A 23118-nucleotide genomic window follows, 5' to 3' on the forward strand; every position below is an offset into this window, starting at 1 on the left:
GGATTTTATTCTGATTTTGCTTTGATCTATTTACATAAGTATCTGAATCAGTGAGAACCACCTGCTTTGAGTTTAGATATGCATCTTCAGATTTGTCGACATATGAAACGTTGCATTTGGCTGTCTTCTGTCAAGTTCTCTCTGTCCTTTTGGTCCCCCGCAGCCCTCACACGGCCCCCTTGATGCCCTCCTCTACTCATTTGTTTCTCTTTCCTAATTTTGTTTTTATTTTTATTTTTTGTGGGTATATAAAGGTGTCTATATTTATGGGGTTCATGAGATGTTTTGATACAGGGATGCAATGTGAAATAGTCACATCATGGAGAATGGGGTATCCATCCCCTCAAGAATTTATCCTTTGAGTGATAAACAATTCAGTTATACCCTTTTAGATATTTTACAATGTGCAATTAAGTTATTATTAACTATAATCAACTTGTTGTGCTATCAAATAGTAGGTCTTATTCTTTCTTTCTATCTTTTTTGTACCCATTAACCATCTGCACTTCTTTCTTAATTTTGAACAATTCCTTGAAGCTGCAGAAATATTTTCTAGCATGATTAGGGAGGCACAGGAGGTAAAAATACATTGTTCAAGGGTCAATTATTGTGTTGTACAAGGTGTGAAATCTACCAGGTTGCCATCCGAGTGGAGAATTTTTTTACTGTACTTGCCTATGAAGGTAAAGAAGCAAATGGAAATTTTTTTTTAAGAATTGAAAGGATTTTATTTCAAATCAACTCTCATACCTCATCCTGGGCTCCAAATATGTTCAATCCACTTGTCTGAACTTCTGCATTGGAGTAAATTTTATATAATTGTCATTGAAGTCAAAACTGATGGCGTAATATTTAAAACAATGGCTGGATCCCCAATCTAAGAAGAATACATTTTGTTGATCATATTAAGTACTGTTACAGTGAATGCATGGACCCATACAATTGTGGAATAATTAAGAAAAAAGGACTTAAGGGCTTAAAAATGTCTTTTTAACAATTTAACAAGTTAGCCAGAAACTTTAAAGATCTTATTCTCTTAATCTTCTAGCTAGACTCTTTTTCTGTAATGAGTAAGATATGTGACTACTGATTGTTTTTTGTGTTAAGTGTTCGAACTGCTCCATGTGACATTAGATAGCAGACTCTTGAATAGAGCTAATGCTCTTTCAAAGATTTGCAACAGCAGACCTGCGACATTGTAATCCAGGACTGATAGAGTTGGTTCAGAATATTAAAAGGGTGATATCTAGTTAGATACATAAGTCTTGATGGAGAGGAGGAGATTCTGAAGCATTGAGAATAAATTTGTGGTTGCTGAGAATGGCCCTCACATGTTGGAGTAAAGCCAGAAACTCTTTGTGCCTCTTCACAGCTCCCACTTCCCCCTAAGACTCTTCCTTCCTGATACCTATAATTCATTTTGTGGACACTGCAGGAGGTGTCTGCGGTCCAGTTGGAGGTTGTGGCAAATTGTAACGCTCAGGATGGCACAGATGTCGCACAAGGTCTTAGGGAGACCAGCCTTTCCTATTCAAGTGCCCACAGCTCTTTCCCCAGCTGTCACCTTCCGCAGGAATGGCCTTTAACACTGTCACCTCACCCCATTCCCCTCCACTCTTGGGAAGCATACGTCTAGGTGAGTGGTGAAGATTTTTATTCTGAATTTTTGAAATAATATCGTACTGCAAGTTCCAGGCAATCAAAAACTCACAAATCACTTGCACTCTGCAGCAGTGGTATCAGGTCTGAAGAAAGGAAGAGGCTGCAGATAGGCACATGGCTTTGCTAAGTTAGCTTTTATATCCTGCGTGGCTGCCTTAGAAAGTGTCCTTGCCCAAGTAGGCTGTGGCTTCTAGATAAAGTCCTTCTACTAAGCTATGAAACATGCCAATTTATAAATTGCTATCACTACTTTAGTTCCGCTCATTTAAAATGAAATAGCTGAATGCCGAGTGAGTGAATTGGGCATCTTTACTTCCAAGACTTCTGGGGCATTCAGGAGTCATATTCTATCTAAGCTTTAATGGTGTTGGTGTTCCCTTTCCTTTGGCCACTCAAGGGAGCCTGTTTTCTTTGGATAAACCGTGAAATCTTTAACCCTGTGAATGTCCGTTTTCTCTAAGGCGGGGTGGGCTGAAACATAACATAACAGGATTTATTTTGAAAGTGGTGACTCCACAATAAAAACATAGATATCTAATTTGCCTTACAAAGGCCGATTTGCAAATCTAGTATTTCCAGTGGTTCTTTCTTTCTTTCTTTCTTTCTTTTTTTTTTTTAATGCCCCATATGACGCTGCTTTGTTGGAATTGCCATTGGTGAGGATCTCACTGATAAAGAAGGGGACATCCCTCCCTTGATAGACTTTAGGGTTGCACTAGAGCCATGCCCCCTTTGAAGTGGCCTCTAAGCAAACTCTGTCTTGTCATCATTTTCCTCTCTGCAGCTGTAAGTGATACGGAGCTGTATTTTGAGTTTTTGATACTGATATTACTAAGGCAATTGGAGGGATTCTTAATTCATCTAAAAAAAATCAGGGATTCTGACAGATAAAAGGATTTGGAGGAAATGTCAGAATAAAGCATTGTGGGTTCATGAAGTCCTAGGTTTTATAATTAAGGTTTATAGGCAGGTATTACCGCTGCTGACTGGATTCAACTGTCTGGATTGGAGATGAACAAACTGCCATCTCTGGGCTAACTCTGACCCACTGCCTGATTTTGTAAGTAGAATTTTTTTTGGAACACAGCCATGCCCATTTATTCCCATTCCTATAATGTTGAACTACTGTTTGTGTATATTCAGTTATCCCAAAATAATATGGCCCTTTGCTTGTTACCAGAAGAGTCGCCCAGTTGTGGCAGAGATCATCTAGCTCGCAAAACTGTAAATATTTACTCTTTGGCCTTTCCCAGAAAAAAGTGCCGACTGCTATGTTAGATACTCCAGTTCATTGAAAGTGATATCACCCTAACATTCTCTAAATTAGCCACAGCTTAGATGAAATTTAGGCAAATGGAATGCCCCAGGCCCCAGGAAGACTGTGGCAGCACATTGTATGTAACTGTTGGGGATGTTGCCTGAAACCCCCGCCTTTTTTTTAGGCAGCTGCAAGGATTAGAATGTTGCCTCCTCAGAAACTAACACTCTTCTCTCCTTGACCTTTGTTTAACCAGCTTTCTGAACCTGAAGAACTTTGTAGATTGAAAGCTGTAGCTTGTGGACCTCTCTCTGTGGAGATCAGCATCTCAGTATCCAGGGGGAAGCCATCTCTTCACCCAAAGCTTCCGCTAGGAGATCAAGAGGCCCGGAACCCCGCAGTCCTGAATGCTAACCAGTAGAGACAAGGGAGGAATTCATTTCTGTTTGTGTTCAACATAGACTGAGCAGGAAGGGCCAGGTGTTTTACGACTCTTTGGAGTTAGCAGCTTGTTGGCTCTGATTTGGTAAAAGCAACGGAAATGCCTTCAGCACGGTGAACATTACATGCAAATGTTGGGAAGTGTTAGGAAAGGGAATTTTTTTAGGCGAGGGAATTTCGCATTGAGGAAGGTCCCTGCTTCGTTTTTAGACACAGCCTATCAGTCAGCTAATTTGGCTATGCATATAAATACTTTAGTATAAAATGCTGCCCCCTGCTACCTGCAGGCTGACATGTTGCTCATCAAAGGCAGGATCCTTCTAATGAGGGATTAGTTGGATGCCTAAATGTGGGACCACCTACTCTGTTCATTGTCTTAATTAGCTAGATGTTTGTTGGAGCGCATGCAAATTATTTTCTGTAAGCAGACAGATTTATTATCATATTTACGGAGTGACATCCAGGGTTTGTGAGACATCCATTAAATTTTTTTTTTTTTTTAATGTTTGAGATGGGGTCTCACTGTGTTGCTCAGGTGTTGGTCTCAAACTCCTGGGTTCAAGTGATCCTCCCACCTTAGCCTCCCAAAGTACTGAGATTACTGGTGTGAGCCACTGTGCCCAGATGCTATTAGCAAGTATGAACAAATTAGATATTTTCAGTCTACTCTTCTGTGGTAATGATGATAAAACTTCTTAACTTTCAGTCCTAAACCAGCAGTGGCTAAAACTTGATTTTTAAAATTTTTTTCAGAGTTTGGTCCAGATGAAGTTTCTTTCACCTTGCGAACCTTTAGAACGCTGGGCTGCATCATGTGTGTTGTAACTTTAAAGTTAGAATAGCCTAGCTTCGTTACAGTTTTTGAGCCAAAGGACCCATTAACAGAAACAAAACTTTTTTTCCTGCAAACAAATACAAGCTGGCCACACTGGTAAATACCAGTGAAATATATTTTGGGACTGACACTTGCATTTTCTATTGGTACTTATGTCACAAAATCACCTCTCTAACGTGTATTACATGGACCTATATATATGCATACTTACATATCAAAATGTATATATTTTGAGGTATAAAAAGTACGTGCTCAAGGTATTGGTCACTCCTCAATTTGTTTTCCTTGAAACAAAATGAAGGTATAAATATTTCAGCCGGGCGCGGTGGCTCACGCCTGTAATCCCAGCACTTTGAGAGGCCGAGGCGGGTGGATCATGAGGTCAGGAGATCGAGACCATCCTGGCTAACAAGGTGAAACCCCGTCTCTACTAAAAATACAAAAAATTAGCCAGGCGCAGTGGCGGGCGCCTGTAGTCCCAGCTACTCGGGAGGCTGAGGCAGGAGAATGGCGTGAACCCGGGAAGTGGAGCTTGCAGTGAGCTGAGATTGCGCCACTGCAGTCCGCAGTCCGGCCTGGGCGACAGAGCGAGACTCCGTCTCAAAAAAAAAAAAAAAAAATTTCATGCAGGGAATCCCAAAATGTAATTATAGTGTGATGTTGAAATTGATTGTCTTAGCTTAGAGAGCCTACTTTTTAAAACTTAGGGTCTTGTTTCTAAATCATGTGTTGAAATTACAGTGTGAACTGTAGTTGCCATACTCTTTGATCCTACAAATTGTCACCACGATGAATTCATATCTTGTGCAAATTTTACCAGTTCTACGTGAATAGAAGAAAATTACTTTTTCTTCATGTAGAGAAGGGTATTCATTCCTAAGATTTTAAATCCACACTTCCCAATTATGGACTACGCCAGCTTCCTTTACACCTTTGCTTCTTTGTTTTCTTTTCCATACCTAAATGTTACTAAATTTTGCCTTTGAGCCTAAAGCATGTCATTGATGGTTTTTTTTTTTCTAGTTATTCCAAAAGGTCCCATAAATCTGGGGCCATAGCTAACTTACATTTAGTCATTTTCATGGGTAAAACACACTCATATGAGATCATTGCACTTGGGATCTTGAAATGCCTGATTAGTTTCCTTTCTGATTGTTGACCAGACTTAAACTAGTGGGATCTTGGCATTTATCTTTTTAAAAACCTGGTGCTCATTAAGGAAAGGAAAATATTCTGAAATAATCGAAATAACCTTTTGGGCATTGGAACTCCATTTTAAATTAAAAACATTTGTGCCTACTATTATCTTATGCTAAATTATACCCAGGTATTGTAAGTAAAATTATTTTGAAGTTACTTTGTTCTAAGAAACTATGGAGATTCTTGACAGTGTTAGACAAAGTCCTTAAATGACATTATATAAAAATTGAGAATTAGTACCTTATGACTTAACCATTTTACACTGAGATATTATTGGACATTGAGTGTACATGGAAATCACGTGATCAAAGTATTTGAGAAGTAAATATCTAAAGGAAGAGACCAATTTAAAACATTCTAATGAGCATCATCTCATAATTTGGTAATCTCATGTAAAATGCTTATAATAGGGGTGTGTGTATGTTATATATATTTTTAAAATAAATTTGTAATCATGTATACAGTAGTCCCCCCTTATCCGTGGTGTTTCAGTTTTTTTTTTTTTGAGTCAGAGTATTACTCTGTTGCGCAGGCTGGAGTACAGTGGCGTGATCTCAGCTCACTGCAACCTTTGTCTCCCAGGGCCTGGTGATTCTCATGTCTCAGCCTCCTGAGTAGCTGGGATTACAGGTGCACACCACCACTCCCTACTAATTTTATGTTTTTAGTAGAGACAAGGTTTTGCCATGTTGTCCATACAGGTCTTGAACTCCTGACATTAGGCAATCTGCTTGCCTCAACCTCCCCAAATGCTGGGATTACAGGTGTGAACCGCTGTGCCTGGCCCGTGTTTCACTTTTTGAGGTTTCAGTTACCTGAGGTCAACAGGCATCTGAAAATACTAATTTTGAGAGAGAGAGAGTGTGAGAGACCACATTTACATAACTTTTATACAGTACATTGTTATAGTTCTATTTTATTATTATTGTTGATCTCTTACTGTGCCTAATTTATAAATTAAAATTTATCCTAGGTATGTATGTATAGGTGAAAGCATAGAATACATAGGGTTTGGTACTATCCAGTTTTCAGGCATCACTGTGGGTCTTGGAACGCATCTCCCGAGGATAAGGGGGGGCTACTGTCAGTGTGAACCTGATTAGATCTCAACTGAAACTTTTTTGTCACATGAGGCCATCAGTTGAATTTCATGCCTGCATGTAGGTTTAGATTTTAATTACTTTTTTATGGTGTCAGCATAACAAATGAGAGTCATACAAACTATTGTTTAATGACAAAGTGGGTCAAACCCATAATTAAAAAAATTAATAATAGATTTTTGTTCTACTTGAGGTTTTGTAGCATTACGTAAAGCTTGAAAACTTGGAAATTGTTTTACTTAAAACCCAATTAAAATAATTTGATCTTTTGCTTTTACATCATAGAGTGGCACAATAAAAATTGTAATGGAAGATGTTATTTTACATTTTTTTTCTTTTTTTTTTTTTGAGACGGTGCCTTGCTCTGTCACCCAGGCTGTAGTGCAGTGGCGTGATCTCAGCTCACTGCAACCTCCGCCTCCCGGGTTGAAGTGATTCTCCTGCCTCAGCCTCCTGAATAGCTGGGATTACAGGCGTGAGCCACTATGTCCGGCTAATTTTTGTATTTTTCGTAGAGACAGGGATTCACCATGTTGGCCAAGCTGGTCTTGAACTCCTGAACTCAAGTGATCCGCCCACCTTGGCCTCCCAAAGTGCTAGGATTACAGACACTAGCCACCATGCCCGGGGGTGTTGTACATATTTCCTTTAATCTAAAAGCAGAACCATCTTTATATATTTTTATTTTTTTCCACTAGAGGGCTCTGTTGCCCTTTGATATAATTAAACAAAAGAGGCAGCATTGCAATATAGTTCTGTTCCTCTCAGTCCATCTTGCTTTCATTTTGGTTAAATAATGTCTTTTACTTTTCTAACATATCTTTTAGGTCTTCTAATTCTCTGTGATGAAGTTCAAACTGAAGACTGTTACTAGTGTCGTGTTTGTTTCTTTTTCTCTCTCTTTTGTTTTGTTTGTATAAAATGCCAGGGATGAAGGGATCCACTTAATAAAAAGGCCCATTGTGTTCAGGGAGCAGCCTGTTCTGCCAAATCACACAAGGGCATGTGTTTTCATGACATTATTGCTTTTGAGTGTGCTGGCCTAGCAATAATATGATTTTTTTTTCCTAAGTGGAAATTGTAATATTTAAGTATTAATACCTCTGTTTAAGGTTCATTTTGAACGCCTTGGTGACCCTATGTTTTTTTCTTTGTTTTTTGTTTTGTTTTTTTTTTTTTTGTTTTTTTTTTTTGTTTTTTTGAGATGAAGTCTTCCTCTGTTGCCCAGGCTGGAGTGCAGTGGCGCATTCTTGGCTCACTGCAACCTTCGCCTCCCAGGTTGAAGCAATTCTTCTGCCTCAGCCTCTCGAGTAGCTGGGAGTCCAGGCACCTGCCAACACGTCTGGCTAATTTTTGTATTTTTAGTAGAGATGGGGTTTCACCATCTTGGCCAGGCTGGTCTTGAACTCCTGACCTCATGATCCACCCGTTTCGGCCTCCCAAAATGCTGCGATTACAGGCGTGAGCTACTGCACCCGCAACCCTATGTTTTTTTCTAAGAATATAGTGTCCCTTGCCCCCTGCTACAAGCCTTACCCAGTGTTACATAATTTATTGTAATTAAATTGTTTATTAATGATACATTCTTGCTGTAGAAGAAAACGTGTCCTTTTGGGCTCAGTACAGTATATGTTTCTTAAGTAAGAGGGATCATATTAAACCAGCTACTTAATGTGAAGCAGATAGCCAGTGTTCTCCATGTACAATCTTAGGGAGGGTAATTTTTGTTTTGGCTGTGTAATTATGGTTTGAGGCAGCCCATTAATCGCATATTTCAGCTGTCAAATAGAAATTTGGCCCAGAAAGGAATACACTTTGGCTTTACAAAACTGCTTATTTTCAAATTTTTAAATGGGGACAAAAACGAATATGCTATATTATATACTTTTATTTATATAATTTTTTTTTCAGCAACTTTTTCTCTTTTGAAAATGCAAGAGCCTGAAAAACATTGTGAATATACTTGTAACATTGCAAAGCTATTTCACCAGAGTAAAGATATTTTGGTTGTTCATATACGAGTGTGTTCGTTGTTTATCTAATAAATTGTTAAAACTAGATGGCGATTCTGGGAATTATTATAGACTTCATAATAAATAAGATGCTGACAGTTGAAACCCCCTTGACCGTTGCCTGTTTGGTATGACACAGACCTTCTTGGACTTTTGTAGCCTATACATGAGTAGATATGAATCCTCAGCCTTCTCCAAAATAAGGTTGGGGTCACTAGGAGGCCTTCTTGGAAAGATGTCTTAAATTAAGGCACCAGTAGATGGATCAAAAAGCAGGTTCCAATAGCTCGCTTTTAGTTTCTTGCCTAAATTTGTGATCTCCCTTTGGCTTCATAAATAACGGTACATTTCATGAAGAGCTGGTCTCAGTCTACACAAGCCTAACTGAATGGGGTGCATAGGAAGGGTTGCATTGTGTGACAAGGTTTAAATCTAATTGTTTTAAGTCTTTGAGTTATTTGCTCACCAGGCTGTGCTTGATGGTTTTACTTTTTGTGATTTTTGGAGCCTTCATGTTAGAAGCCATAGTCATATGGTGCTCTCTGAAAGCAAGACAAGGTTTCTTCACTAGACTCTAAGAGGAGATCTGAGACAGAGAGATGGGGGCGGGGAGGAAACCTATTTCAGTGTCTCTACTATTTCTACCTAGGTGGAGGATAACTAGCCAGATGAACGGAGCTAAGCCTTTTGTATGAAGTTTATTTCATATAAAGAGGAACAAAATCAGAATCAAATTTCTTCTGTAGTTGCACAGAAACTGAAGTTAAAGCTAATACAATGTTTTTCATTTTTACCCTTACCTCTACAATGTACTTAATTGTTACAGATTCGTATTTATTGATTATCATGTTGTATTACATTGATAGCCGTTTAAAATTTATGAAGATTCCGTACTTGTCATATTTAATTCTCAGCACCGTGCTTACAGCTGTCTTGTGATAATGTCGAAAGGAAAGAGAAGGGAGGTGAGGTAACGTGCTTGAGATCATACAGGTCTTGGGCGGCGGGTGCCTGCAGGATAGATCAAAGGGTAATTGAGTCTGTGCCTGGGGCCCCTTCCACTGTACATGCCACCATCCTGTTGGGAGGAATAACAGCACACTCCTGAATGAGCTCTTTCTAAGCAGCTCATTCATTTTGTTAATCCTGAGTTTGGAATCAACCAATTTATTTAAACCCGTGAAGCCTCGCTCTGTGCCCGGTCAAGTGCTGGGAGTGGCATCTGCGGGGAGGGCCAAGGCAGATGTCATTTCCAGACTGCATTGGATCCTGGATTCAGAAGCTGAAGCTTAGGAGTGGGCATGGTGGTTCACGCCTGTAAACCCAGCCCTTTGGGAGGCTGAGGCAGGAGGATTGCTTGAGCTCAGGGGTTCGAGAGCAGCCTGGGCAACATAGCAAGACCCCATCTCTACCAAATCAAATTTTTTTTAAAAGCTGAAGCTTTCTTTACCAAAACCACTTTGGTATTATGATTGTAAAACAAACATTAAGGAATAAGTCTGGGGGAATGGGAAGTAGCATTCATCAAGCGCCTGTATATGCCAGGTGTTAGGCTAGATTAGCTTGATGTGCCTTCTCATTTAATATAAGTAATTATTTTAAAGGTTATTGTGATTAACATGTATTCCTTATGGAAAATTTAGAAAGCGAAGAAAAATAAAAATAAGAATAAAAGATTTAAAAAAACCCCAATTCTTACCAGTTAGAAGTATACTATTAATATTTAGCATGTATGATTGTAAGCATGTTTTCCCTTCTTTCGTGATTTTTCTATTTAAATTGTGATTATCTTTCTGTGTTGTTAAATACTCCACATCTTAAATGGCTGCATAGTATTCCATTATGTGGTTCCAGCTCTTCTCCCAGTGTGGTACATTCGGGTGGTTTCCAGCTTTTTAATAGCTGTGGAATGGAGAAGCACATTTTGTAATTAAATGTTTGTACCCATCCGTGACTCTTCTATAGTTTTATTTTGTGGAAGTGGAATTGCTGAATGAAGTGATTTGCTCCCCAACCTTAATATCTTGATTTGTTTTGTCAAACTGCCCTGGAAGATTGTACCAATTTGAATGCTCCTTTGCCCAGCATCCTTGCCAAACTTGAGAATTAGAATTTTTAAAAAATATCACTTAAATTTGCCTATCTCTGATGATTAGCAAGATTGATAGGCTTTTCTTATGTCGGGCCATTTGTTTTTTAACGAATTGCCCTTTCATCTTATATGCATGACTATTGGATATGTATCGATTACTAATTGATTGCTTGCCTCATGTGCTATCATTTAATTTTCAAAATGTCCCTTAGAAGTTAATTTATAAAGTGTCTATTACTTTAAGTACCTGTTCAATCCTGTGATCAAGAGGAAATTCACAGAGAAAGAAATTGGCCTAACTCCTCAGTTTGCTTCACTAAAATCTTTTAAGCACACATCTTGTCTATTATGCCAGCTGCAACTCAAATCAAAGGCACTGTTGCTTTGGTACCCGCATTTAAGGAGGGAATACCCCAAAAAACTTAAACTTGTCTGGCTTTGCAATGGTGGTGGAGTCCCAAGATGACACAGTAGGCAAGATTTGATTACTTTGGTTATGCAAATTTCCCCTAGATCTTCTATTAATGACAGTAACAGCGCTTCAGAGCTTTTCTATGCATTCTCTCATTTGATGAGCCTGCTTTCAGGTGGAGAAATTGTACCATTGCTGAAAATAGCTTCGCTGACAGTTAGGGCAAGCTTCATTGGTAGCAAGTTTCTATCTGGAAAGATGTAGGAGAGGAACACTGACTCTGGAAGCAGACGTGACCTAGTTTTGAAACCTGGGATAACCACTTCCTATCTGTATGACCCGAGCAAGTTACTTTCCTTCTCAGAACTCCTGTTCCACCTCTGTGCAATATGGACAGTACTCCTACTTTGCAAAGTTGTTAAAGATGGGAACTCCAGAGTGCCCAGGGAATTGTCTACTCATCATTGCAGGCGTTTAATAACGTGTAGCCATTTCTGGAATGGGAGGCAAGAGGATCGAGTTACCAGTGAAATTAGTTTGGTATTTTCCTAGCTTCCTGGTTCCCAGATCCTCAAGAGGCTGCCATAATCTCTGTGAATTTGTCCTAAAATGACCTGTATAAATAACTGCTTTAGACACTGGCTTGTCTTTGGTATGAAGGAAAACATTTTAGAATTTTTTTGGCTGGAGGTCAGTAGCTTTCATCCAGAAAAGAATAATCAACGGAAAAAAAAAAAAACCACCGAGACGAGGTTATTTTTGTTACAGTCAAGGAACAAAAAGGGATATATTAAACTTGGGGGAAAAAGAGAAGGAAAACTATTATTCTTTAAAACCGTTATACCATGCATCATGGTAACATCTTTTTTACTGAGAGTTCTGCATTAGCACACTTGTTCACCCAAGTTTGTGATAGTTTATAGGACTGCCTGGTGTATTAAGTAGAAATGCTCAACTTTGCTGTCCTATTTTTTTGATCATATCCAAAAAGTGTCAGTGTTTGAATATAGTTTTATTGCCACTTAAAAAGGTAGGACAGTTTTATTGGCGTCTACTGGACATGGTAGGAAGAGAGCTGTAATTTGACACAGATTGTCCTTAACTTGGGTGACTTAAGGCAAGTCACTTAACCATCTGAGCCTTAATTTCCTCGTTTGTAAATTCAAGAGAATAATAACTTCTCTGTCACATACTGTTTTGTACAGATCAAGTAAAACAATGTGTGAAATGCTGTAATGAAGAAGTCCAATAGTGTATGAATATAAGGTTGCTGGCGTTTGGGGAAAAATCATAGTTATAGAAGAAAGACTCCTAAAGGGAAGATTAGGGTTGGAAGAAGATGGAGGAAGAGAGTAATTTAATTCCTTAATGGAAAGAATAAAATAAGAGCTCTTGACTTTTTTTTTTTGTTGTTGTTAGGATATGGGGAGAGGTTTCTGCAAATATCTTCTTCAGGGTTTACGAAGTGAACCGGATGTCCGGTAACAGGGTTGCATGTCATGCAATTGACTGGGTGGTGATGACTAAAATTTTAATGATGCGATCTCATTTAAAGTTGACAGGCTCTGACTCTAGCCAGATATTCAGGAGCAGAAACTTGATTCAATAAGAAGGGAACCTGCAGAGGCAGAAACTTCTGTGGGTTGCAGTTGTGTTGAGATTACACAGGTGGAAATGTTGCGAGTTCTTGGGTGATGCGATTTCTTCCTGCTTGCCTTAAGTTTCACCTGCCCAGGTCCTTACTTCTGCTCACAGTGCAGCACGAATTTAGATACTGATTGGGGATTCAGACACAAACGGGATGCTCCTTGCTTATATAACATCAACAGAATTGCTGGCCACATCTTGATTATAGAAACTCTTTTTCCTGGTGATCACACAAAGCAAAAGAATGAAAATAATCAATCTCTTTCAAATGGAGAGACTCCGCTGTGTCAGCCACCATTGGCTATAAGGATGAACTCTCAAAACTTTTTGTATCTTGCAATATAATGTCTTCCAACTGCCTTTGATTTTACTGTGTGGCTGTGTGATACAGCAAGGCAGCTGTGGCTTCTAAATTCAGCAGCTAGGTTTGAGAAGCTTCTATCAGCTGAGAGATCATCAGTACATTCCAAATGGCATTAAAAATGCTGTTACAGCTTTATCTATTAGCAAAGGAAGTTTCAATTCTAAGTTCACGTACAGTTACTAGATTGAGTGTTTGACAAGGTAGAGAGCTCTGTAGTAGATCCATATGGGGAACATCTCAGTCAGGGTGTGGAGTCAGATTTTTGGCAAGGGATACCATCCTTTCAGCCTGAAAAGCTGACTTGGGAGCTGTCAGCCTGTGTGCACGAGGACCTTTTTCCTCCCAGGGTTAGCGTCGCCACTTGCCCAGTGTTTCTTTTTTATTTCCTGCTGGCCTGATCCGGGAGGGATTTGGGAAAGCTAGTCTTGTTGGTGTGTCATCATCGCGACGCTGTTAGTGATTGACTTACCCGAGTGTACACATGTTTGCATCTCACTTGTATGTTCCTTACATGTTTACTTAATTATTGGGAAGGTGTATTAATGTCCTGTTGCTACTATAATGGACCACCACAAACTCGGTGCTTCTATGCTGCAAACCTAAGATTATAGGCAGTCATAACACAGTGTTAAGTATTTGTGTATCTAAACATAGAAATGGTTCAGTAAAAATACAGTGTTGTAATCTTATGGGACTGCCGTTGTGTGTGCAGTCCATTGTCATGTGATAGTGATTAAGGGAGGTGGACATTTTTGTGTTTGCTTATTTCCATAAGCTCAAGGGTAAAGCTTCCCAATCAGCCTTTAGGACAGAGGTAAGAACTGGTTGGTGGCCTGGAGCCTGGATCTGGCCTCCAGATGTTTTTTGTATGGACCACACAAAAATGGTCTATAGTGGGATTTTTTTTCTTTTTTTTTTTGTCAGACTACTTGCCAGCATACTAAAATCAGGATATTTTACTTAAATGTAGATTTATGACAGTTTTGAAAAATCAGAATGAGTATTGTAGACTAAATGTTTATGTCTTCCCCAAAAATTCCTATGTTGAAACCCTAATCTTAAGGTCATGGTATTTGGACATGGTTGTGTCCCCACTGAAATCTCATCTTGAACTATAGTTCCCATGATCCCCATGTCTTGTGGGAGGGACCCGGTGGGAGATAATTGAATCATGCTGTTCTCACGATAATGAGTGAGTTCTCATGAGATCTGATGGTTTTATAAGGGGCTTTCTTCCCTTTTGCTTGGCACTTCTCTTACTGCTGTCATGTGAAGAAGGACGTGTTTGCTTCCTCTCCTGCCATGATTGTAAGTTTCCTGAGGTCTCCCCAGCCACGTGGAACTGTGAGTCAATTAAACCTCTTTCCTTTATAAATTTCCCAGTCTTCGATATGTCCTTATAGCAGCATGAAAACAGACTAATACAGGGGCCTCTGGGAGGTGATTAGATCATGAGGGTGGAGCCCTCATAAGTAAGATTTGTGCCCTGATGAGAAGAGGATAGAAAGGTAGCTAACTTTCCTTAAGCTATGTGAATGTGAGAACACAGTGGGAAGGCAGCCATCTGTAACTAGTAGGAGGGCCCTCCCCAAGAACGTGACCATGCTGCCACCTTGACCTTGGACTTTAAGCCTCCAGAACTGTGTTAAAGAAATGTCTGCTATTTAAGCCACTCGGTCCATGATATTTTGTTGCTGCAGCTTCAGCTGACTATGGCTTATGTCTATCAAGGAACATAGTTGCACTGAGGTTGAACAGAGCTGTTCCTATAGGCTGACCCCCTGTAGGCAGGCACAGGCTATTTTCCATGGTCAGTTTACCTGCCTGCTTCCTGTAGAGGCTTGAGCTTGGTTTAGAGTCTGCAATGAAAACTGTGTGATGATATTGGACTCACTGGCTCATAGCCACTGCCACGCCCTTATTCAGTCTTTTGTGCAATTAACAAACATTTATTGACTACTGAGTACCAGGTGCTAAGACTTCAGTGTAGAAACAGGCAGGGTCCCTGCCCTTGTGGAGGATACAAAACACACCAAAATGCAGTCAGCTTCACTGAATGACAGAGATATGATCTGAGAAGTGTGTCAGGCAGTGTCATCGTTGTGCAACCCTCATAGGATGTACTTACAAATCCTACGTGGTATAACCCATTATACACAGAGGCTGTATGGGATAGCCTGTTGCTTCCAGGCTGCAAACTTGTATAGCATGGTACCGAACTGAATACTATAGGCAGTCATAACACAATGGTAAGTATTTGTGTATCTAAACACAGAAGTGGTACAGTAAAAATACAGTGTTGTAATCTTATGGGACCGCCGTTGTATCTGCACTCCATTGTTGACCAATGTGTTGTTATGCAGTGTGTGACTGTACCAGCAGCTTGATCTTTGTGCTTCTAGAGAACATTTAAATTGATTCGCTTTTGTGAGACAGGGTCTTGCTCTGTTACCCAGGCTTCAGTGCATCAGCGTGATCATAGCTCACTGTAGCCTCTCCCTCCTGGGCCAAGTGATCCTCTCACCTCAGCCTCCTGAGTAGCTTGGACTACAGGCATGCACCACCATTCCTGGCTAATTTCTTTTGTATTTTTAATAGAGATGAGGTCTTGCTATGTTGCCCATGCTGGTCTTGAACTCGTGGGCTCAAGCAGTACACTTGCCTCAGCCTCCCAAAGTACTGGGATTACAGGTGTGAGCCACCACATCTGGCGAAACTCTGGGTAGTTTCTAATTATTTCTGTATTTCTATTTGTATTTAAAAGTACAGGATACTAAAATGTTTTTTTTTTCTTTTTTGAGATGGAGTCTCACTCTGTCGCCCAGGATGGAGTGCAATGGCCCGATCTTGGCTCACTGCAACCTCCACGTCCCAGGTTCAAGCGATTCTCCTGCCTCAGCCTCCTGAGTAGCTGGGATTACAGGTGTGTGTGCCACCACGCCCAGCTATTTTTTTTGTATTTTTAGTAGAGATGGGGTTTCACCATGTTGGCCAGGACGGTGTTGAACTCCTGACCTCGTGATCCTCCTACGTCGGCCTCCCAAAGTGCTGGGATTACAGGCGTGAGCCACCGCGCCTGGCAAGGATTTTTTTTTTTTCATACTTGAGGAAACATCTAACAGCAAATATGTTCTTATAAGTTAAAAAGAACTTTTGCTATTTTGAATGACACTCTCATTAAGTCTTACTACTAGTCTCTGATTTTTCTTTTTTCTTTTTCTTTTTCTTTTTTTTTTTTTTTGAGACAGAGTCTCACTCTGTCGCCCAGGCTGGAGTGCAGTGGTGCTATCTTGGCTCACTGCAAGCTCCACCTCCCGGGTTCACGCCATTCTCCTGCCTCAGCCTCCCGAGTAGCTGGGACTACAGGTGCCCGCCACCACGCCCGGCTAATTTTTTTGTATTTTTTAGTAGAGACGGGGTTTCACCGTGTTAGCAAGGATGGTCTTGATCTCCTGACCTCGTGATCTGCCCACCTCAGCCTCCCAAAGTGCTGGGATTACAGGCGTGAGCCACCACGCCCGGCCTTGATTTTTCTTAACCTTTATTTCCAATTATGCATCTTCTGAGTAACTATAAAGAAAAGCAAAATCTACAGTAGGTATGGAGTGAGTGCAGAGTCACCATCAGCTTGAACAAATGTGTGTATCTGTGGTCAAGTTTAATTGCTTCTTCTGTAATTTATATTAATCACGCTTCCATTGCTTGCCTTTTGTTAATACGTATGCGGCCATGTGATGATTTTTTAAAAGGTCATCCAGTATCTTGATGTCCAGTCCATGCTTATAACCTGAGCAGTTTATGTACTCTTGAGATGGTATGTGCTAAAAATGAGTAGCTAGTCTGAGTGGCAGCCTTACCCATTTTATTTTGTGGGCAGATTTCTTTTACAGTTCTGGCTGGGTTTCTTTTAGTTGGCTTCTTTGCTTTGCTCCTGTTACGACTTAGCCCTGTAGCTCTGGGCTCTTCGATTCTCACGTGCTGATGGTGTAGCTGAGCTCTGCTAATGCTGGTTATTAATCTGACAATCTATACCAGGGAGGTTTTATAATTGCCATAATTCTTATTTGCTCCATTCCATTTCCCAGCTTCTCAAATGGGGTGGCAGCTGCAAAGCACAGTATTTGAACATGAAGTAGAGAATCGTCACTTCAGCTTATGATTTTACATTCTGTCAAGGCTGCAGGGAAAGCGGTCATGTTTCTGGATGGTATTTGGATCTACAAATTCCAAGCAAACTTTTTACTTCTTATTATGTAAAATGGAAGGGTTAGCCAAATTAAGATCTCACCATCAACCTTGAGGGAGTGACTTCTACATGCCGTGTATTACTGGTTATAAAGCTAGTCTTGTTTGGATTGAAGAATTTAATCATATTTAACTTTTCAAAGGATGCTTTTTAAAAAACCTTATCCGCGTGTTATGTTTAAACTGAGAAGTACCTGAAAGTGAAAATTTTATTTATTTTTACTTTTTTTGAAAGATGGAGTCTTGCACTGTCACCCAGGCTTGAGTGCAGTGGCTCAATCTCGGCTCAGTGCAAGGTCCACCTCCTGGGTAAAGGAGATTCTCCTGCTTCAGCTTCCCAACTAGCTGGGACAACAGGTGTGTGCCACCACGTCCAGCTAATTTTTGTATTTTTATTAGAGACGGGGTTTCACCATGTTGGCCAGGCTGGTCTTGAACTCCTAACCTCAAGTGATCTGCCCGCCTTGGCCTCCCAAAGTGCTGGGATTACAGGCTCACGCCACCATGCCTAGCTGATTTTTGTATTTTTAGTAGAGATGGGGTTTCACCATGTTGGCCAGGCTGGTCTGGAACTCCTGACCTCAGGTGATCCACCCGCCTCGGCCTCCCAAAGTAGTGGAATCACAGACATGAGCCACCATGCCTGGCCTGAAATAATTTCAAATTAACCCCTGAGGAACAAATGCTCATGACTTTCAATGAATAGAAAAATCAGACTGCTAGAACCTCCAGACTGCATGTCATGCGTAGAAGTAGAATCCTGGGGAAGCTAGCTCACAAAAGCAAGGGAGATACCTGCAAGGCTGAGCTGAGCTTGCAAGGGAAGAAAAATATTAGAGAGTTGTCACATTTAGAAATAAGTGATTCCAAATTTACAGTCAATGGACTGTAGATGCCTTCCATCTTCTTAAGAGATTTTGTGCCTCTTGCACAGGTATTATCCCTAAGATGTGTTTTCTTCAATGTACCTAGACTGTTTCCTTAAAGAATTGCTTTTGTATGGTACGGCTCTATGTGTCTGTGTTTCTCATGTTGGTTAGGAGAACTAACCCTTGTGACGAATAAGAAATGGCAAACATTGTTAATGTTGACTTTACTAGTTGCTCAAATATTAGCATTGGATTTTAGAGTCAACATGCTAGCAGGATGGCTTTATTTTAAAACCATGTGATAGAAAGCTATCTGCTATTATTGATAGCATTTCTGGATGGCTGTCAGAAGTCTTTCTTTAGAAATTTAACCATATTTTTAATGGTGGGCATTGCAGTCAACAATAGTACAGACTTTGCAAAGACTATTTTTTTTTTTGGGTGCAGTGAATACTTCGCAATGCCTGCTGAATTTTACCTATTCTGTAAGTCTTTTTGGGAACCGTTGAGCCCCTCTTCTCTTAGTTGCCTTTAGCCTTTGTTTTTATTATGACAATTGGTATGAAATTTTTCCTTTTCATTACTTCTTTTATTCAGAGCACACCTCTGGCTTATCTCTTCATTCTCTGTTTAGTTTCATATTTTACTTTAATTTCTGTACATCAATATCTGCCATTATAGTATTTAAGCTCTTGGAAACATCAGGCATTTGTTAACTTGTTGAGAAAATAAAGCACTCCACTGTTGTTATGAGCTGCTTATGGCAAGTGAAAAACTCACAATATTTGGCCAAACTTGGGATCATTTAGGTGTTGTTTGCAATTAATGGCAGGAGATATTTTCCTTGTTGTTAAGAGTATAACGTTGGTTTTAGAAAGCTTGATCTATGTTTTTCTCCATGTTAGATGTGAAAAGAACCAGGAGAGTGTGAGGATATTGGTAATATTGTCATATGGTGATCCCACTGTGGATAGATACGCAAGAGAGAAAATCCAGAAGAAAGCATTTCACTGAAGCCTGGGGACATTTCTGGTGACAAATGGTGCTGATGGCACAGTGAGAACGGGAGAGGGCAGAAGCAATGCACAGATAGAAAGGGTGTCACCTGCGCATTGAAAAATCCCAGTGCCATAACAATGCAGTCCCTGCAATACAGACAAACCTGACTCCCACCATTCCTGTAAATGAAGATGGGGCCTTGCTGAGAAATAGAGGATGCAGATTCCACCCTCAGGCTTCCCGTCTTGGGATGCAGAGAAAACTCACCCACGTGCAACAACTCAAGAGTCGTTATTTACCTAGCAAAGTGTTCACATGACAGTGTTTGAAATGTACCACGTGCCTTTTCATGTTTAGTTTAGAGCTTGACACTAGAGCTCTACTGTGGTTTACCAAGTGTGAGGGACTATTTCTTTCTGAGAAGGAGGGGAAGCTTTAGTTTCCTTGAATGTCTAATAGAGTCTGAGTTTCCTTTTAGAAGCATAAAAGACGTACAGTAGGCAGAATCTGGATTTTTAACTATACAGTTGCTGAAGTTATCTTCAATTCAAATCTTCTAAATTCAATTTTGTTAATGTTGTTTAGATATTATTATAGAAGCCAGCTTTACTGACTTCTGCACATTTAATCATAGGAGATTCTTCCATTCTGTGAACTTAGATTTCTTTTTTCTATCCATGACATTTATCTAAATCAGGCTTTCTTTTCTTTCTACTAAATTTTTCAATTACCAATAGGCTATGAGAATAATTAGACTGACAGTATTACTGAAAAAAAAACAAAACAACAACAACAAACAACAAAAAAAACACCTTCCACTAAAACTGACTCAAAAAGATAATAGCAGGGAAAATGACATGTCGATCTGTGATTCCTTTTTTACTTGTCAGTCCTTTTGGGAGTTGAACATATAAGCACATGTACCTCTATGTGACTTTTGAGACGTCTAGAATAGAGAATTCACCTTTGTAGCTGGAATTTATTCAGCATGCAAATGTGGGTGGGTGATTGTTTTATAGATGCCTGGTGTTGAATGATGGGCAGTTGTGATAACTATATATAAAATTATATTAAAGTCCAAGAGGTGCTTTTATGAGGCAGGCTGGAAATGGCATCCGATTTTCTTATGGCTTTTTCATGTCCATTTTGATGAATCTATTTATTACTTCTATAATGAGTAGTACACATGGTTGGTTAGCCAAGTTATTGAACTTTATCAACCTTGGCTGAAATTCACAATGCGTGCCAAACTTGTTGTAACATGTAAGAAATTACATCTGGGCTAAAAGGTTCAATAATGATTACTCTTATAATGGAATCTTCTACAAAGCAAGGGATTTCATGATATCCCTATGCTTTTAAAAAATTATTGTGATACAGTGAAACAAGGAAGAACGTGTAGCTGGAAAAATAGTATTTGCTTGTAATATACATTCAGATTCATAACAGGCTTATTTGATTCCCAGGACAGGGTGAGCAAAGGATGCTGTTTCCTGGGTGTCTGCTTTGGTGTTCATTGAGTCATGTCTCTCTCTTTAGACCTTACTGGATCTAGTCTTCATCATGGGGCCTGTGAGCTCTTTCAAATCTAGAGGACAAAACCTAATAAAGTGCTGTCATATCACATCTGTTTATGAGTTTCAAACTGAAATGAAATGTGTAGCCGTGTTATTCTTAAATTACAGAGACTTGAGGAACGTAGAGCTTTTTACTCTCACTAGAGAAATCTAAGCACAGGTTGGTTCGTTAACCTGTAAAGAGATGTTTGGGTTTTAAGAGGTCTATCAAATAACACAGTTTCCCTTTCCCAAGTTACTACCTAACTGAGCAGTAAGACCACCCATTAGGCAAATGGAAGACCAAAACATCACCTGAGTCATTCATGAAGCTGATACTGGAGAATATGTATAGCTGTGTGAGCTGGTGGGCTTTCTAATCCTGACCACCACAATTAGACAGGGTAATGGGTCAGTGCTAGGTCAGGCCAGACCTTCGCAGAGGGCAGACCCCATTCATGCAGCATGTTCAAGACAGTGCAGGAGAGCAGGGTGTGTGCTCTCTGTAAGAGGAGAGGAGAGGCAGAGCTGCGTGTGCCCGGTTCTCAATCCTGGAATTACCATTCACATACCATTCACAACATAAGTTGGATCAGCTCCCTTGAGCAGGAATAAGTGAGTGGCAGAGGGGGTCAGGGATGTTAACGCAAATGGAGATCCCTTCACCCAGAAAGACACATCTGAAATGGAGAAGATGCCTTTTTCCTCCTGCAACCAATAAGAGAGTGATGAAAATTATGACGCCTTGGGAAATAAGACTGCAACGTAAATGTGTGTCCACCCCCTAGTTTTCTTTTGGATTGTGAATCCTCACCCTCCGATAACTAGACGTGCTGTTTTGACGTCTATGCTTTCCAGCTTGCCAATTCTGGGGCCTGGCACAGTATCTTTCACCCCGGAGTCTCAGTTTCCTCATCTGTAAAATGGGAACCATGACGTCAGCATCACAGAGTTGTGAGAATTCGACAAGGTGGAATGAAAGCAACTAGTGTGGTGTCTGACCGCTTGTGTTAGTCCATGAGGAATTTCCTTACGTATTGTTTTGTGTCTAGGACCAAGTTCTTATTTTCTTCTTATGGATGACTTCATATATATGCCGCCACAGAGGGAATTACCGTTTTTCTTTGTAGGTAAAAAGGAGCTGGGTTAAGATGCACCGTCATATGAAACAGGGAAAAAGGGTTTGCTTGGGTTTTAGATTCCTGAAACAGTCTGCTGAGGGATTCTAAAGTTGTTGTGGTCTCTGTTCCACTTTGGGAGTTTGATAAAAATTGGCCTGTTTTATTTGACAGCTCTTAGGTAGTGTGCAAAATTGTCAACAGATAATAAAAGTTTTTTGCAAAGCTATGGCTCTATGTGCTGTACTTGAGCAGTATCCATACTCTTAATAGAATTGATATATGAAAGCAGGTCTTTTTCCTTATCCGTTTAGACCTAAATCTTATCCATAGTGTGTGGATATCACAAACAGCACAAGAGGAAGTGAAAGGAACAGAGTGGGTGAGCAAACCATTGTTCAAAGGAAACAGAACCTCGCTCAAGGAAAATGAGAATTCTTCTGATCAGCTTCTATAATGGATGCAATGAGGAAAGTTGTCTAGCAGACTGTTCTTGGCCAACTGTCTAAATGGCTCGCTGCATCCTCTTCACGAGAGCTGATGGTAGGACTGTAGAAGAGTCACAAAACATCACATGACAACGCCAGTCCCTCTGATAATCCTGCAAGAGCCAGCCCAGTTTTGCTGACAGCACAGTCTGCTGTTTAATTATTGTGTGTTCAATGACTTACCTCTTTTTAGTTTAATTAAAATTATTTCTCAGATTAAGAGCCATGCTATGATGCTTGCCAACGGATATTTAAAACATGTAACTGATTTGTTTTTTATAATGCTTCAGGAGAACTCAGTTGAGCAGTAAAGATGTGCTCGTGATGTGGTTAGCTCAGAATAAGGATGTGAAAACCAAAAGGGAAAGGAGGACAGGAGTGAATCTGGCACTTATCTTTCAGTGGGGCCTGAGTGCAAATTCTTCCTACCTTCCATATGAGAGAATAGGGAAAATTAAAGAATAAATGTCTCTGGGTTTAATGCAACTTTACTAAGGAATGAAAGTCCGATAAGAATCCATATCTTTTGAAAGAAGATTTTTTAAATTCCTTATTTTTCCTTTCTGCATGGTCATAAAACACACTGGGGACAGCCCACCCTGAGAAGTCACCAGGCATCTGCCTGCCTTCAGTAGCAATCACCCAACTGCTGTAGACCGTAATCAAGCTTTCAAGAACCACGTGCAGCACGCTGCGGGAGAGTCCCAGCGAAGTGCTTAATGCGCCACTCCACGGATGTGAGTGGGGAGCAAGTGCTCAAAATGGGGCTTCTGAATTGCAATCATCATTTGGCATCTCTATTACCTACAGCTGCTCAAAG

General features: G+C 40.1%; 1 protein-coding gene across 4 annotated transcripts in view, besides 2 other annotated features; it reads left to right on the forward strand.

Moving 5' to 3' along the window:
- The window catches only part of WWOX (WW domain containing oxidoreductase), a 1113014-nt gene that overhangs the window by 16125 nt on the left and 1073771 nt on the right, over positions 1-23118 (forward strand). The window lies entirely within an intron of this gene.
- Positions 19090-19259: an enhancer, noted in NCBI's record as "experimental_45974 CRE fragment used in MPRA reporter constructs". NCBI's record gives its function as "activates a minimal promoter by MPRAs in K562 erythroleukemia cells, with activity observed for the non-introgressed 16:78168850 variant allele {active_cell/tissue: K562}" and the evidence as "EXISTENCE:reporter gene assay evidence [ECO:0000049][PMID:34662402]".
- Positions 22733-22902: an enhancer, noted in NCBI's record as "experimental_45980 CRE fragment used in MPRA reporter constructs". NCBI's record gives its function as "activates a minimal promoter by MPRAs in K562 erythroleukemia cells, with activity observed for both the introgressed and non-introgressed 16:78172493 variant alleles {active_cell/tissue: K562}" and the evidence as "EXISTENCE:reporter gene assay evidence [ECO:0000049][PMID:34662402]".

This window comes from Homo sapiens, chromosome 16, assembly GCF_000001405.40.
Source record: "Homo sapiens chromosome 16, GRCh38.p14 Primary Assembly".
Classification (NCBI taxonomy): Eukaryota; Metazoa; Chordata; class Mammalia; order Primates; family Hominidae; genus Homo; species Homo sapiens.